Raw genomic sequence first — 18,153 nt, 5'->3', positions numbered from 1 at the left:
TATGCTCATTCAGTAATCCTCAACCAGAACTTTTCTTATCTAATCCTCTCTCTCATCTTGTCTGTTGCCTGTGAGTGTGCATTCAGTAATCCTGAATTTTTGTATCTAATCCTGCCTCTGTCCTCCCTGCTGCCACACATTTCCTCTTCTATCAGGCCTTCCTTGTTACAAGCTGTCTTCCTAGGTGGGTCAGAGCAGGCCACTCCCTCCCTGCTTTGAAAGCAGGATGAGGATGTGTGGCTCCTCATCACCTAAAAAACAAAACTTCCAGCAATCATCTAAGGTCCTATCTGGCACCAACCTGTTTTCCAATTTGCTATTATAACTGTTTCTCCAAATTAATTTTCAGTTCCTTAAAAAACAGGAATCATTTCTCATTCACTTTCTATTCCCCACTACATGCCACCCACGGGAGGCATGTATAATCATGGATTTCCTTCCCCTTTACTTCTACCCATTCAATAGTCACTAAACATTTGCTTGAATAAATGACTAAATACTTGAATTTATTTGCATTTACTTTTATTTTGCTTCAGAAATTGAAACTAAATAATAATTAAATATTAGCCTATACTTGCACAACTCTAAATTTTAGCATCGGCCATGCAATTTTAAGAGCACAATGTGTTTAAAAATTGTTTTATATCCTGTCACATAAAATTCTGCTACATATCCTATCACCAAAAATATCCTTAAGTATTTTGAAGATGTTGCTATGTTAACTTTTTACACAACATGCATAAGTAATAATCTGTGTATTAAAGTAACATTAATATTGTTTCTTATATGAGGATTTTGTTGATTGATTCAGGGTCATTTTAATTGCCAACTTTGCCACTTTTCACTAGTATTTAAGATGTGCACTTAATTTAAATGATAGAGCAGTTGTCTCTATAGCTTCAGTTTAACTTTGCTTTACTACCATGCGGAAGAATTTGGGGTTAGTTAACATGCTATGTTGTTGATGTTACTGCTGCAGCTACTGCTGTCATTTGCTCATGGGGCTAGAGGTAGGAAAGAGAGGGGACCTAATGTTCCATGAATGGAAAATGCACAAATAATATATAATTTTTTATCCTTATTAATGATGAGGACATCACAAATTACTTTTTGCTGCTAGTATGTCACTTTTATCCCTTAATTTGGTTTACTTTTATAGGGAGGGAAAAGTAAAGATGCACCTTCATGGGATCCTGTTGCTCTGAAACTCCCAGAGCGGAATACTCCAAGAAACTCTCATTGCCACCTTTCCAACAGCCCTAGAGCAATAGAGCACGCCTATCAATATGGAGGAACAGCCAACAGCCGCCAAGAGTTTGAACACTTAAAAGGAGATTTTGGTGCCAAGTAAAGTAACACACTATACTCCTAGACTCCTAATGACATGGCTGGGCTCCATCTTTGTTTGTCACATGTCATCGTTTTTTCCCATCTTTCCTTTCTGTGCCACCTTAATCCTATTATGTTATCACCAAAATAAACACTAAATAGTACATGATTTATGCTATCAAAAGAATTATATTCTCTGTGACTTTCCAATTGTAAGGTTCATAAAACAGTATTCTTCCAGGATACTGTATTTGATCAAAAAGAAAAGACAATCAAGGAAAGGAAGATGGAGCAAGTTTCAAATGACTCATCATCTAACATTGATATCCCCCTCCCTCTCCCATACAAATTGCTTTCAGATTGTAAATGGGAGTGCATTTGAACTGCTAAAAGGTTAATAAGGAAAGGCATTGAAAATACAAATATGCTTGTATGTCTATGACCCTCCAGCTATCTCCAACCCCATCGCCTCTTTCCAGTATTTCACAAATCTCCAGGTTATCTGATATTACTGAAGAATTATTTTTACAGTTTTAGCACCCAAATATTTTTATATAGGTCTTACATAGCTCTGTCAAACATTCATAGAGGCAAAGTATTCAATAAGAAATCTCTAATACCTTATAATTTGCTACCTGCCTAATAGGCAGAATCAGTATTTTGTATTTTCCAGGAAGAATTTAGAGTTAATCAAACTAGAAGTTAACCTAATAAATGTATCTTATCCATAGCCTGGGGCTAAATTTCTAGAAGGTTTTGTTTAATTTCTACACGCTCGGGTGGCTGCTTTTTACATGTGGTATCCATTAATTAATTTTTACTGGGAAAAAATTTTAGTCTGTGTTTTAGATAGTGCACAACTGATATTATTTGTATTATTCACTAGTATTTTGTCCACATGGATAAGCTTCTTTAACATACATATTTTTACTAAATTGCAGCCTTTTTTTTTTTGAGACAAGGTCTTGCTTGCTCTGTCACCCAGGCTGGAGGGCAGTGGCATGATCATGGCTCACTGTGGCCTCAACCTCCCAGGCTCAAGTGATCTTCCCACCTTAGCCTCCCAAGTAGCTGGGACTACAGGTGCGCACCACCATCCCTGGCTAATTTTTAAAAATTTTTTGTAGAGACGGGGTTCCACTATGTTGCCCAAGCTGGTCTTGAACTCCCAGGCTCAAGTGATCCTCCTGCCTTGCTGGTCTTGAACTCCCAGGCTCAAGTGATCCTCCCAAATTGCTGGGATTATAGGCCTGAGCCATGGCACCCAGCCTGCAGCCATATTTTCAAACCAAGACACAGTAAGATCCTTAACTGAAACAACATTTCCTCAAATGTGGGATACATCCTTGTTGTATAAGGAAGTAGAGAAGAATTTACATTTTTGAACTAGCCATGCTAATTTAATATTCATTAATAATACTAAGTGTGGAATAATGTTGCTTGGGATTAGATAGAATGGCTACTTGTTTATTCTTCCTTACACTGTATTATTTTAAGAAGTTAGAGATTATCCTCAGTCTCATTTTACATATGGTAATCCCTTTCTTTTCATTTACCAGATCTCAGTTTTCCATTCGTCTGAGAACTCGTTCCTCCCATGGCATGATCTTCTATGTCTCAGATCAAGAAGAGAATGACTTCATGACTCTATTTTTGGCCCATGGCCGCTTGGTTTACATGTTTAATGTTGGTCACAAAAAACTGAAGATTAGAAGCCAGGAGAAATACAATGATGGCCTGTGGCATGATGTAAGTTGAAGGCAGAGAACAGCATTACCAGCAAATAGCTACCATTGTCAAATGGACACTAATGGGCCTCCATTACTCTCTCTAGAAATATCCATTTTAAAATTCTGCTGCTGCACACTCAGAATTCAATTTCAAAAAATTGTATTCCTTATAAAAGTCTTGAAGCATACTATTTAAAAAGAGACACAGGCTGAGCGTAATTATTTAAACCAAAGGATCAGTGGTCAACATAAACTGAAATTTGGTTTTTAATGATTTCTCACTTATTTTCTACTGCCAATAGGTTTTTACTTTTCAGCAATTATTATTGAGTGTCTTTTATTGGCTAAGCTGTGGAAGATACAAAGTGAAGAGTAAATCAGTGAGGAAGATAGGATACCACAGTGGGAGCAGATAAATATTGAAAGAAATTGGTGGGTATGTAATGTCAAGAGTAAGCAATGTAACATGCATTACAAGTAATCACAAGAAGTTTAACTGGGAGAGAACATATGGCCTGTTCTGTCTATATGTGGCCTGGTTAACTGGGAAAAGCTTCATAGAGAACATGGAAAAACATAAGCTATATTCAGAAATTAAGCTTTAAATCATTCTATCTAGAGGTCAGAAAATACATAGATCACTTCCTCTAATACCTGAAGTGGTAAATGGAAGATGATCATGAAAAAAATACACCTATGCATATAAAGCAAAGGGGCCTGGAGACAGCTCACAATAAAGGCATATGCTGTATAACAAAACAGAATCAAATGAGGGATAAAGTTTCTGCCATTCCAAAAACTGCATTGCCAGAAGCCTACTAAACAGAAGAGATAAACTCCTGACCTTCAGAGATGGGGCCATTTTAAAAATAAACTTTCTGAAGATTTCCCACAGCATTGCAATAGCAAAGTTGGAAGAAGAGGAAACACAGCCTTTTCTGCAATCTTGGAATGTACCTGAGATGTGCTATTGTCCTTCTCTTCATCCAGGTGATATTTATTCGAGAAAGGAGCAGTGGCCGACTGGTAATTGATGGTCTCCGAGTCCTAGAAGAAAGTCTTCCTCCTACTGAAGCTACCTGGAAAATCAAGGGTCCCATTTATTTGGGAGGTGTGGCTCCTGGAAAGGCTGTGAAAAATGTTCAGGTAAGCCAGGCATGACCAGGTAGAGCCATTGACCATTAGAGCCAGAAGATCATCTAATTGAGGCCCTCGTCTCACAGATTAGGAAACTAGAAACTAGCACCAGTAAAACTGTAGTTTTCTGGAAATGGGATATCAAAGTAAGTACTGTCTTATGGGCTGCCTGTCTGCCCTGTGGCATTACAAAGTCAGAAGTAATCTTTCAATTCTAAGGTAGATGTCAAATGAAAAAGTTTCAGAGGCATAAATTATCATGAAAATTTATGTCTCAAGGAGATCTTATTTGTTCAGGAAGTACCCATACTTTTAATGTAAAGACATAACAAAAAAGAAAGCAAATCATTGCATTATACATTATTGAGTGAAAAAAAAAGTTTCAGGTCATTATGCAAACTACAATCCCATTTTTCTTACACACACACACACACACACACACATACACACACACACACACAATTTGTAAATGTATAAGGAAATGTGGTTGCCCTGGGGAGAAGTGAGAATATAGTAGAAAAATATTATTTGTGTAATTTAAAAATTAAAAATATTGCACTTATAAAAAATTTAGCAATAAAAGGAATGCATCAAAGGACTAAATTTTTCTTAACATAAATATAGGTTGGATTTTAGCAATGTTAAAAATAATTTCTAAGACCTATTAATATATGTAGATGAAGCAAAAAAGATGGTTTACATTATAATTAGATTTTAGATAAGCAGCCCCAATTCCATGGCAATCTCTTTTTTAAAATGTCCAAATGCAGGACAAAATCAGTTATCTTAAGTGGCCCAAGTTTCATGTCCTGTGATATGATAAATTCTCAACCACAAAAACAGCTCATGAAACCAGAAATGAAAGCTTTCTGCTGTTTATTTGGCTATGGTAGATTTAAGTAAAGAACTTTGCTAGCCCTCATCAGCCTTAGGTGATCTTGGCACAGCTGTCATTCTTGAGGGAAAACTAGGATACTTCTAAATATGCAGTTTGAAAACCACAGCTGCAACTTATTGTGTCAAAGTGTAACATAAAAATGTCCATAGCTTAATTACTACAGGTTGACATTATCAAATACAAAATTCCAGCTTCAAACAACCAGTTAGAAAGCAACTATCCAGGAAAGTACTGATCATTCAGATATCTGAAATAAATGAAACAAGGAATTACGTGGGTTCCTTCAGGACTCAAACCCCCTCATTTTGCTTCCCCTTGGTGCATTTGTGTTGAGAAAATTGATTTTAAGAAATATCTTCTTCCCTCAGATTAACTCCATCTACAGTTTTAGTGGCTGTCTCAGCAATCTCCAGCTCAATGGGGCCTCCATCACCTCTGCTTCTCAGACATTCAGTGTGACCCCTTGCTTTGAAGGCCCCATGGAAACAGGAACTTACTTTTCAACAGAAGGAGGATACGTGGTTCTAGGTAACATTAGTCATGTTAAAAATATGAGTCATGAAATGCTTCTTCCTGGAGATGGCTAACAGGGAATATCAGGCCCAGAGTTAAAACTTAAGAATGCCAAACTCAGCCCTAGAAGATGACCTCTTCCCACAAGAACCACCTTTCTCCCTCCTGCACTCCAAACCATACATGCAGTCCCCATCCCTGTATACTCTCCCTGACCAGGCTTCTCCACAGCTGCCAAACTTCTGGATGAAGACCACCTGGGCTCCTTTAGAATGTCTATGCTGCTCCGTGGCCTGATCCATGTCAGTTTTTGGCCACCTTGCTCCTCAAGGTCTTGCTCTGCTCCTTCTTGGCATGAACCATTGTCCTACTAAAGGAAGTCCCACTTTCTCCCCATGACTTGCAACACCAGCAGACAACGTTATCCTTCAGAAATTTTTATTTCTGGCTTTTTATTATTCTCCTTGACCATTACTCCCTCACTCATTCAGTTTTTATTGTATGCCTCCCATAAGGCAGTCCCTATGCCAGATGATGGGACATAACAGTTCTAAAAATAAATAAAATCCTAGCAGACTACACACAATCATCATCTAATTCATTCCAAGAATATTCTATGGAGCAATCGCTGGGTGTGAGGAAGACACCAGAATAAGTGCCCGGAATTAGGATAGGAAAGGGTATAAAGCTGCATGTTCCCTCCTCTCAAGGCACTTAGGTACTTTGCACATCCCCTGAATAAAGAAATTACACTGCAGCCAAGTTTACTTTTTAAACCACCACCATATCCAGCAGAACACCCAGAGGTAGTATTTCCTCTCTGCTTAGCTCATGATTTTACTTTCCTGCCTCACCCATCTTTACCCCTACACTAAAACACCTACACTTACAATTCTCAGCCTTTCATGGAATTTCAGTGATAAGAACTCTTAACAGTTTGGACAGCTGGGAATACAGAGCAAACTGCACAATTTATATACTACTCCATGAGCACTAACTAATAACAGGAAAAAATTTTAAATGATTTATAGGATACATTAAATGAACATTATTTAGATGCCCTGGTTTGCAATGAGTCTCTTGGAGTAAACACAACTATTCTTAATAAGAATTTTATTGGATCACCTCAGTAACAGCTCCTAAATACTTTCTCTGCTCTTTCTCCTCTGAAATGCTGTACAACACTGGCACCAGTTAGGTTTCTGTTTAATAATTATTTTAAAATACAGGTCCGATCAAGACAGCTGTCTTGCTCAGTGACTGTAAAATAAAGCCTAACTTCCATACTTCACCACTAGAGCCCTTCCCAGTGTGGCTCCCACTCACCATGCCTCCTTCTCCCCTGGCAGGGACAGTCCAGCCACAGTGGCCTTCACAGTGCTCTCCAAGCATTCCAGCCTCTGTACCTGTGTTGAGTCTACTTCCTCTGCCCAGATTGCCCTGTCCTCCTCACTTGTGAAATACTCAGTAGTGCTGCTGCTACTTGGAATTAATTTCTCCTCCCCTGAGCTCCCATAACACATATTTTGTGTGCTGTTGCCAGCCTCACACCCCACAACAGGATTGATGCATTAGTTATCTTGGTTCCCCACAGAGCTTTCCACAGTGAGTTTGACATGGAAAAGCCACTTTCTACTTATCTGTTAAAAAATGCATCAAACTTTCAAAAACAGATAAAAATATATATAATTACAAAATCACACCATAGTTACAAATATGATCTTGCTGTTCTTGGGAGTTTATAGTGTTTCTCTCCACAGATGAATCTTTCAATATTGGATTGAAGTTTGAAATTGCATTTGAAGTCCGTCCCAGAAGCAGTTCCGGAACCCTGGTCCACGGCCACAGTGTCAATGGGGAGTACCTAAATGTTCACATGAAAAATGGACAGGTAGTGTCTGAAAAATGTTTAACAATTTGTCTCATCTGACCTTGGATTCTAGATCTGAAGCAGATTTATTTCACAGAATTATTTCATCAATCTTTCCTAACTGAAAAGAAATATAGGAAAGCTATAACATGAAATGTAAATGTGGGCAATATTTGGATTCAGCTTCCTATGTTGAAAGTTGATTTGGTTAAAACAAAGAGTCATAAAAATATGGCAAAACTATCAAAAAAATCACTAATAACAACACAGTTTTAAGAGAAGAATGAGAAGAACTTTTTTTCACCAAATGGAATCAGCAAACATAACTATCAAAATCAACAAACACTAAAACATCTTTCTAAATATCTATAATATGTATGTATATCAGATATATGTATGTGTACTAGATATGTATATATACTATACATATTATTCTCAATTGATAGAAATAAAAAATTATGTTGTAATGCCACTTTCATCCTAAGATACTACTAAAGAATATTCATGGAAGTATTCAAATAAATATTAAGAAAAAAGTATATTTTCATTGATGCTGCTAACTTAACATAACAGATTTTTATTTGGGTTCTAGTACATTCTATTAAATTATATTGAGCCATCACAATAAAATGTATCCCTACTTGGTGTTTACTATTTGTTGGGTACTATTCTAAGCTTTACCTAGATTAACTCATTTAATCCTCCCAATTATCTCCATGATGTAGGTAACAGTATCGCTTATAATTTACAAACGAGAAAACTGGGGCAGAGAGTAAGTTAAATAGGAGACTGGCTGTCTAGCTTCAAAGTCCATGTTCTTCACCAATACTTCAACCTGCTTTGTATAACACACTCAATCTTTAGAAATTAAAGGGATTTATTCTATTTCTTATTGTCCCTCTCTCGCAATTTTCTCCCCTATGAAGTCACTTTGTTCTCTCCCCAAAGAGCACCCCCAGTTGAACCTATTTCTATAGGCTGCCAAAGACCCTTGTGTTCAAATTGCAAAGCTAATCATGTGTGAATATTTGTTGAAGTATTGCTTCACTGTGGTAAATTATTTAAGAAATTCAGTTTTATCACAATGAGGACAAACTAAATCATACAATGTGTCCTATCTTTTGCAGGTCATAGTGAAAGTCAATAATGGCATCAGAGATTTTTCCACCTCAGTTACACCCAAGCAGAGTCTCTGTGATGGCAGATGGCACAGAATTACAGGTGAGAAAACTGACTGCCCTGGGGAGCCTGCACACCCAACTGTAAGATTATGATCTGGCAGAACTTAGGCTATCACTTATATGATAGGTAATGCATGACAGTCTAAAAGTATCCAAGAAAAGAAAATCATGTTATTATACTATTATGTGTATACTGAATCCACATGTGATTTCAAAATATGAACGCTGCAAAATTGTGTTAAGGGGTTGCTTCAATAATGCATAACTTATAGGGCAAAAAAAAGTAGCACAAGAATATTCTAAATATTCTCCCTTTCTAAGGAAAATGTTACAGTAATCTCTTGGTTAGACATTGTTAGACATCATTGATGATTTTAATAATATAGAAGAAAGTGTGGGTTTTATTCTGGAATAAATAAAAGCAATTGCTGTGATAAATAGTCTTTCTCAGGTTAAAAATTCATCACTCCAGTGCCACTTATGACCAGTCTTTGCCCTGCATTTCAGTTATTAGAGATTCTAATGTGGTTCAGTTGGATGTGGACTCTGAAGTGAACCATGTGGTTGGACCCCTGAATCCAAAACCAATTGATCACAGGGAGCCTGTGTTTGTTGGAGGTGTTCCAGGTAAGTGTTGTTTAAAAAGGAAAAGTTCCCAATCCAAAAAACTGAGTTCTCACAATTGTTATTGTAGAATTGAGCCATGTGTTTTTATGATGCACCTAGTTACTCAAAGGATTTTATATACAGTGTTGTTTAAATGGAAAAGGCATAATAAAGTGACATGTAAGAACTAGACCCCAGCATTCCAGCCAGTGGCTATTACTCTCCCTTGCCATATTTGCTTATTTTTTTCTTTCCTTTCCCTTTTAAGTGCCCGCCACACACATACACACAGTGACACACATACTCTTATTTTATCTCTAACACAAAGAAAACTCATTGACTAACACTACAGTAGGATCTGAGAACTTTGGAGGATTAAGTTTGCTGTTAGTTGCTCCCCTTCCTCAGTAGGAAAAAATGCACAGTTCGGTCCATGATTAGTCTGAACTGCAAAAACAGCTGCAGACCATAAGTTGTTGTCCATTGGTAGTGACATTCCCTCAGAGAGGTTCCCAGCTGCAATTCTGTAAACATCATCAGTCACTGCTGCTGTCATCTGCCAAGAATGGTGTATAATCCCGGATGGTGACAGGACACTTATGGACAACACACAAACACCCCAATTGTTTTAAACCTGTGAAGCAAGGACCATGTCCTCATATTGAATGCATTTGTTTTTACACATTTCACTAACTTGGAAAACCTGAATGCTATGGCTGGGGAGTGGGATTTAAAAGGGAAATAACCCAGCTTTTGCAGCTGGAACTTGGTGGGGAGTTTTTAATTGACATATCATAGTTGTACATATTTTGGGGGTACATGTGATATTTTGATACCTGTATACAATGTGTAATGATCAAATCAGGATAATTGCAATATCCACCACCTAAAACATTTATCTTTTCTTTGTGTTGGTAACATTACAATTCTTCTCTTCTAGCTATTTTGAAATGCACAATAAATTATCCTTAACTATAATTTCCCTATTGTACTATGAAATTCTAGAAATTATTCCTTCTATCTAACTGTATTTTTGTATCCATTAACCAAGTTATTTTCATCTCCTTCTTCCCCCTTCCCTTCCCAGCCTCTAGTAACTACCAACTACTCTCTACCTCTCTCCATGAGATTTACTTCTTAAGCTCATGTATGTGAGTGAGGACACATGATATTTGTCTTTCTGTGCTTGGCTTGGTGGAGATTTTAATAATCTTCTAATAGATTATTTTTAAACTGACCCATAAAGACAGACAATGCTTTAAAGAAGAGAGCAAGAAGCACAGATAAAATTAAGCATCTGACCTTGGGTACTCCAAAAATAGTAACAACTAAGCACTCTTCTTTGTCTGAATTTTTCAAATACTAGTATTGACAATAATAGTAACCCGGTGTGAAAAAAAATATTTGAGACCCTCGCAAAGCAACTCTTCTCCTTTGTCTCCTGCTTCCACTCCCCTCTCCATTCCCCAGTCCTCTCCCTGTTCCTGACTTCAGCTTTGAAAGGATTCTGGCAAAGGCCAGCACTGCACTTCATGCAGGTGCAGCATGAAAAAGTCTCACATGAGTGCATATTTCTGCACATTGCTTCCCTCCAGAAATCACAACACAGTTTAAAATGTTTCACAGGTTCCCAAGAGCCTCCAGGATTAAATTCACCATAGCATGCAAGCTCCCTGATCATCTGTCTCCTCCTTGTCCCTGCCTTCGGGATCTCCCCACACCTTCTGGGACTTGCAGTTCCTAAATGTTCAACGATGGTATCTTTGCTCCGGGCCTTTCCATAAGGGAACTGGGCCTCAATTTCTGGGAAATGTTCTTCCTTTCCTCCCCTAGTACCTTTGTTAAGAAACAACTTCTCCTATTCCTCCCCATTCTAACTCCTATTGACCTTTAGGACTCAGCTCAGACTTTTACTTACAACACGCCCCTTTCCCCCTAGGATGTATACACATACTGCTGTTGTAGCACTTAGCACAGAATATTGTTGAAACTAAGAAGTGCATTCCTTGATGGCAGGGAACATGACTATATCCAACACACAGCATGGATTGTCTATTAAGCATTGTGCTAGGCTTTGGGAGGTGGACAAAACAAGCATGGCCCTCCCTCATGGAAGTTGGAGTATTTGTCCTTCACTATGCCACCCAACGTACTTACTACATCTTTCAAACAGATATTTCTCTTTGGTTTTTGTTTGTTTGTTTGCTTTCACAGTCTGATCCCAGCCTCACACACTGCCATCATCCCTCACTACAAGAGTTGCTAAGCCCTACAGACTGGACAGGCAAGATGTACCTAAAGCCAAATTCAGCCTGCCTGAAACACAGAATGAATAGCAAACTTTAGTTAATGAGCCAGCACAGGAGCTAGCAGGCCAGAAGGGCGTAACCACCAGCCCACTGCACCACTGCAGCTTTTAAGTCCATCTAAGAATTATGCCAGCAAGCCTAGAATAAAAGCAACTATACTTTAAGATGAAATGTAATTAATTATATCATTTTGAGCTGTTCAAGATTAATTCCACTAAAATCACATCAGAAACCAGGCATTAAGAGGATAGCTAAAGAAATTAGGCTAAATAAAACCCCTAAATGCACTGAATTCTCCAAGAATACCACTCAGAACTCTGGTGACTCATTATTTCTATCCATAAAAAGCTAACGCATAAAATTCCTAGAACTACACACCAAAAAAGTCAACTTTAGTGTGTGATAGTTTTAAAATCAAAATTAAAAATCAAAGAATTTTTTTTCTGCCGGACATGGTGGCTCGCGCCTGTAATCCTAGCACTTTGGGAGGCCAAGGTGGGTGGATCACTTGAGCTCAGGAGGTGGAAACCAGCCTGGCCAACATGGCAAAACCCCATCTCTATTAAAGATACAAAAAATAGCTGAGTGTGGTGGTGAGTGCCTGTAATCCCTCCAGCTACTCAGGAGGCTGAGGCAGCGGAATCGCTTGAACCCAGGAACTGGAGACTATAGTGAGCACAGATCACACCGCTGCACTCTAGCCTGGGCCACAAAGTGAGACTCTGTCTCAAAATAATAATAATAATAAAATAAAAAGGTTTTGTTAATGTAGCCCACCCATGGGTCTAACCATTCATTCCTCTACTGAAAATCCTGCATTATTTGTATATAGTCAAGCATTCAACCTGGGAAACATTCTCTCTAAAAATTATGCATTAATTTCATTAATCAATTACTTAGGATCCTAGGGCACTGTACTGTCACTACCTACAATTAATTGTATGGTGAATTATTCAGACCACTAACTGCTACATGAATTATTACCTCCAGATGATTTCCCTCATAAGCCAAAGGATGGTAAGCTTGGGCAGAATCAAAACCTAAGTTCTAAGTCAGGTCTCCAAAGTAAGCAGAAGTATTAGATGTTTCTACCTCTTATAAGCATTCCTGTTCACTCATTTCTTACCCAAATGATGAAGTACACTGAGCAGGCTTGAAGAATAGTCACACTAATCTAGAGACAATAAAGGGAATTGATCTCTCAGGCCCCTTCCAAATCTAAAACTTTTATGATTATCATTCTAAATATAAAATGCTATTTCCATGATTTATTTTCAGTACACAGCTTCTGCATATTCTTACCCTACATTGCTTAGAAAACTTATTACAGCTGCTTGCTGATGTTTCATTTGCTGTTCTATGTTCTTTCCTGAATTACTGATTTCTAAGTGTTTTCCATCCTTTATCTGCTACTGCTCACATAGCTGTTTGTAAATAATAATAAGCTTTGGCTAAATGGATTTTAATTTTATATTTCTAAGCTCTCTAAATCGCTTTAAATTATATTGCTTCTATCATCCTAACACATTTAATTGTGTCTGTACAATTAATAAGCATAAGGCTTCTTCTAGATTTCTAATTAAGAGGAGAAAGTTCCCTTGGCATACCACAGGGCACTTGTGCCCACACAAAGACTAAGCGAGTTATCATTACCCTATTTATAGTTCTTAAACCCTGAGCTCAGAAAAATTGAATCTTAGTTTATTCGAATTCATTACTTTCTCATTATATTTTATGAACAGGCAAAAATGTAGAGGCTTAAGGGTGAAGGGTAATGAATTAAACAGAAATATTAACCAAGTCCAAAAATAGTGTGGAAGCTAAAATTTCTTTCCTCCTTCTTAGCAAAGTACACATTATAAGTGAGGCCCAGGTGAAATTAACTTTAAAAAACATAGGTAGATCATGAAAATTCACTGCTGAGGCTTTACATGTAAGTGGTAAATTTCAGCCTTGAAAGACAGCTACAATACACAGAAATGTGATCATGGAAAACATGGCAAAACGTTAAAATTACCACATGTCCATAGGACTTCACAAGCAAATAATGTTACTGAGAAATGAGTCAATTATAACTATGTTCTATTTTTGAAATGTAAATCATATTGATGATATGAGCAAATATGTATACTTTTACCAGGAAGTAATATTTGGGCTTGGAATACCTCAATTGCAATCTTTGTTTTTATTTCTTGCTCTTTTCAGAATCTCTACTGACACCACGCTTGGCCCCCAGCAAACCCTTCACAGGCTGCATACGCCACTTTGTGATTGATGGACACCCAGTGAGCTTCAGTAAAGCAGCCCTGGTCAGCGGCGCCGTAAGCATCAACTCCTGTCCAGCAGCCTGACATGACAGAGCACAGCTGCCCAAATACAAAGTTCTTTAGAGCACTGAAAGAAACACAAAGCCAGCCAGGAGGAACAGTAACTCTTCCTTCGGGTGGAAGCTTTCATCGAGTTGAACAGGACTTAAACGAATCATCAGGGACCGGATATTTCTTATTTCTCATTTGGATTCTTAACCTTGAATCCAAAGTGTCTGCAATGGACAACAATTGAAGGAGTGGCAAACTTACTTGTATTGAGAGCACACGCAATTCCTACTGGTGAAATTACTGTTTCTGTTTCTAATAAAATAGAAGGGATTCCAAATAAACACTTGCACACATTTTTGAAGTGCGGCTAGATTCTCAGATTCACCTTTCTTCCAGGGAAGATAACTTTCAATCTATATAAAAATCTCTGTCCTAAAACTACCTTTCTTTATTTTGAAGAGACTTACTAACTTACATATAATCTAAATTAGATGATAGATTTGTTTTTAGCCCTTTTGTTTGGTCTATCAGTATAAGAAGAATATTTTAGGTTTATAGCTGAAGTTATCAAGGTTTAATAAAGTAAATTTCTAACAGAATACTAGAAAAATGCAGTATAATTTAATTTTTTCTAAATAAGAAACACAGGAAATCAACTACTTTTTCCCCTTCCTTATCTCCTTAAAAGAAAAATAAAATTGTACATGAGAGGAGGCTTCTGTAGGTTATTATTACCATTATTGTGTGTTCTATGGGAATCATTGAGGATATCACAGCAAAAACAGTAGGACAAAATCATAAAATTCAATTTAAGAGTACACAAGTCCTTTTATTAAAAGTTTGCTCCTAGCCTGGGCAACATAATGAGATCCCATCTCTGCAAAAAAATTTGTACATGGGCATACACCTGTAGTCCCAGCTACTTGGGAGGCTGAGACGGGAGGATCGCTTAAGCTCAGGAGTTCAAGGCTGCAGTGAGCTATGACTGCTGACTGTACCTGCACTCCAGCCTGGGCAACAGAGTGAGATCCTGTCTCAAAAACAAAGTGTGCTCTCCACATACCTGCAACACAACTAGTCTTATTTCTAAAATGTTATAATCTTTTTTCCAAGTAGCTACATTAATATAGTCTAGAAAAAAATGGACTTGAATAGCTGGTAGAATATTAAAATATAGAAATGAAATAAAAGAATTATATCTAAAAACCTCAACTCAGAAGACAGAAAAAGAGAAAATAGGCCCTGATATCAACAGAATTAACAATACATAAAAGGAGTAACTTTTGAGGGGAGAGGATATAAAATATTTTGAGGAATTACCAAGGGGAATAAAACAATGTTACCTTGAAATGATTATATATATATTACATATTGGTATATATGTCCATACCTACCTATATCCCCTGCTACCCTTCTGTCTGAAATATACAAATAATGATAATGTTGAAGATATCGATAAACATAGCTAATGTCTGTTCATAGAGGACTTACTAAGTGCCAGCCACCATGATAAGCTAAAGTTAATTATTTTATTTGTTCATTCCACTAATCCTTTGAGGTAATATTTGCAGCTCAGATAACTCGCCCACTGTCATTCAGCTGGACCAAGAAGCCGGTAGTCAAAACAAGACTGCCTGCCTCCAGGAGCAGCATGATTGTCACCTTGGTTCCCTGCCTCCAAAGACTATCTGCCTTCCAGCTGACCAGAGCCAGAGAGGTACCATAAAGTAGTGAGCTGGCAGGGTCTCACTGGGAAAATCAAGAGGGCACTTGCTTTGACTCATCTAGAAGGGCAGCAGGTTTCTAGGGGCCAATCCCTTCTTTAGGACTGGGTGAGAGAAACCATTTCAGCACAACTGGCAGTGCAACACCATGATGCCCCCAACACCACACACACAAACCTGCAGCAAATGGCACACACAGAGTCTATGTAGAGTATAGAAAGCCAACTGAACATGCCCGTCCAAAATGTGAGCACCATAAATTTTCATCTGTGTTATTCACTGATATGTTGTAAGAGCTGAGACCAGTGCCTGGCAGGTAAGTATATGCTCATAACGAGAGCATTTAAAGGAAGCCCAGTTTCCATAAAGTTATCCCCTCACCTCACCTCCTAAGGCAATCACTTGACTTGTAAATTTCCTGGAAGTCTGAGAAAAGGGAAAAATGGACAGTGACTTCTCCATCTGAGTTCGACTGAGCCCCAGAAATCTCTGGCTTGCCTGAGGGTGCAGGGAGAAGCCTGAGGGAGAGAGGGAGGTGTGGGAGAGAAGCCTGAAGTCCTCAGAGAGACAAAAAGCACTCCCTCAGGTCTCTCTGATAACCTTTTAAGTCCTGAAAAAGTAGGTAAGAAGTTTGGCTACCATGAATAGGACCACTCAGTTTCTAAACATCACAGCACCCAAGGACACCATTCCCAGAGAAGACTGCTAGAGGACAGGATGAGGTGGGCACAAGGAAGATGAGATTAGGGGTGAAAGCCTGATGATCTGCCAAAGCATGGGACAGGAAGGCAGAAACGTAAGTGGAATGTAGCATGACCCTAGCAGCCGGAAGAAACAGTTGAATCTCTCAAGGAACTTCTCAAGTGTAGTGATGGTGGCTGCTCAGGCTTGAGTCCCTCACCAGCCCAGCCAGACCATAGTTTACAGAGAGCTAAACCAGCAACCTCAACAGAACATGTTGTCAAATGATCCTGTCTAAAAACTGTTGATTAATGAGCTGATGTCAGCCAGATGGAAGGTTATGAAAGCATGGTGTCACCAGGTTGCCCTAGGACCTATTTGTAATATTCCCTTACAGAAAGCTTACACCTGGAAATGTAAGAAATGTGGGAAGGCAATTTATTCAGGGTAAAGGCCTTGGAAGACTAAAGAATTAAAGAATTCATACTGCTGAAAACTCTATTTATCCTTTTAATGTTTTTTTTTTTTTACTTTAAATTTTAGGGTACAATGTGCAGGTTAGTTACATATGTATACATGTGCCATGTTGGTGTGCTGAGCCCATCAACTCGTCATTTAACATTAAGTATATCTCCTAATGCTATCCCTCCCCACTCCCCCCTCACCACAACAGGCCCCAATGTGTGATGTTCCCCTTCCTGTGTCCATGTGTTCTCATTGTTCAGTTCCCACCTATGAGTGAGAACATACGGTGTTTGGTTTTTTGTCCTTGCAATAGTTTGCTGAGAATGATGGTTTCCAGCTTCATCCATGTCTCTACAAAAGACATGAACTCATCATTTTTTATGGCTGCATAGTATTCCATGGTATATATGTGCCACATTTTCTTAATCCAGTCTATCATTGTTGGACATTTGGGTTGGTTCCAAGTCTTTGCTATTGTGAATAGTGCCACAATAAACATACGTGTATATGTGTCTTTATAGCAGCATGTTTTATAATCCTTTGGGTATATATCCAGTAATGGGATTGCTGGGTGAAATGGTCAAATGGTATTTATATCTCAAGATTCCTGAGGAATCACCACACCGACTTCCACAATGGTTGAACTAGTTTACAGTCCCACCAACAGTGTAAAAGTGTTCCTATCTCTCCACATCCTCTCCAGCACCTGTTGTTTCCTGACTTTTTAATGATCGCCATTCTAACTGGTGTGAGATGGTATCTCATTGTGGTTTTGATTTGCATTTCTCTGATGGCCAGTGATGATGAGCATTTTTTCATGTGTCTTTTGGCTACATAAATGTCTTCTTTTGAGAAGTGTCTGTTCATATCCTTCGCCCACTTTTTGATGGGGCTGTTTTTTTCTTGTAGATTTGTTTGAGTTCATTGTAGATTCTGGATATTAGCCCTTTGTCAGATGAGCAGATTGCAAACATTCTCTCCCATTCTGTAGGTTGCCTGTTCACTCTGATGGTAGTTTCTTAAATCTGTAGTGATGCCCCTACTATCATTCCTGATTTGATAATTTGTGTCTTTTTATTTCCTGATAATTCTACCTAGAGGTTTATCAATTTTATTGATCTTTTTTAAGAACCAGCTTTTGTTTCTATTGATTTTCTCTATTATTTATCTGCTCTTATATCATTGTTTCTGCTCTTTATTACTTCTTTCTTTCTGCTTATTTTGGATTTAGTTTGCTCATTTTTTTCTGTTTTCTTAAGGTAGAAGCTTAGATCATTGCCTTGAGATGTTTCTTCTTTTCTAATGAAATAATTTATTGCCTTAATTCTCTCTAAGCGCTACCCATGCATTTTGATATGCTGTGTTTTTGTTTTCATCCAGTTCAAAGCACTT

General features: G+C 38.1%; 1 protein-coding gene and 1 long non-coding RNA gene across 9 annotated transcripts in view, besides 2 other annotated features; one reads left to right on the top strand and one right to left on the bottom strand.

The window, feature by feature from the left end:
• LOC107986633 (uncharacterized) overlaps window positions 1–7,372 on the bottom strand; it is a 39,745-nt gene extending 32,373 nt beyond the window's left edge. Inside the window, exon 1 of the long non-coding RNA XR_001744299.2 lies at window positions 6,934–7,372. This is a non-coding gene — a long non-coding RNA (uncharacterized LOC107986633). The remainder of the gene's footprint in view (window positions 1–6,933) is intronic.
• The window catches only part of LAMA4 (laminin subunit alpha 4), a 147,055-nt gene extending 131,625 nt beyond the window's left edge, over window positions 1–15,430 (top strand). For all 8 annotated transcript variants that reach the window (XM_047418770.1, XM_047418769.1, XM_017010854.3 and 5 more), the window contains exons 32-39: window positions 1,160–1,347; window positions 2,889–3,078; window positions 4,050–4,205; window positions 5,463–5,622; window positions 7,368–7,498; window positions 8,605–8,698; window positions 9,166–9,285; window positions 13,779–15,430. In XM_047418770.1, coding sequence (XP_047274726.1) covers window positions 1,160–1,347; window positions 2,889–3,078; window positions 4,050–4,205; window positions 5,463–5,622; window positions 7,368–7,498; window positions 8,605–8,698; window positions 9,166–9,285; window positions 13,779–13,924 — 1,185 coding nt within the window. In that variant the 3' untranslated portion in view covers window positions 13,925–15,430. The remainder of the gene's footprint in view (window positions 1–1,159; window positions 1,348–2,888; window positions 3,079–4,049; window positions 4,206–5,462; window positions 5,623–7,367; window positions 7,499–8,604; window positions 8,699–9,165; window positions 9,286–13,778) is intronic.
• Window positions 9,688–9,888: a silencer, noted in NCBI's record as "peak6041 fragment used in MPRA reporter construct". NCBI's record gives its function as "represses an SCP1 promoter by STARR-seq MPRAs in K562 erythroleukemia cells {active_cell/tissue: K562}" and the evidence as "EXISTENCE:reporter gene assay evidence [ECO:0000049][PMID:32103011]".
• Window positions 9,868–10,068: a silencer, noted in NCBI's record as "peak6040 fragment used in MPRA reporter construct". NCBI's record gives its function as "represses an SCP1 promoter by STARR-seq MPRAs in K562 erythroleukemia cells {active_cell/tissue: K562}" and the evidence as "EXISTENCE:reporter gene assay evidence [ECO:0000049][PMID:32103011]".

This window comes from Homo sapiens, chromosome 6, assembly GCF_000001405.40.
Source record: "Homo sapiens chromosome 6, GRCh38.p14 Primary Assembly".
Taxonomy (NCBI): domain Eukaryota; kingdom Metazoa; phylum Chordata; class Mammalia; order Primates; family Hominidae; genus Homo; species Homo sapiens.
This window is presented reverse-complemented; position numbering and strand designations above follow the sequence as displayed.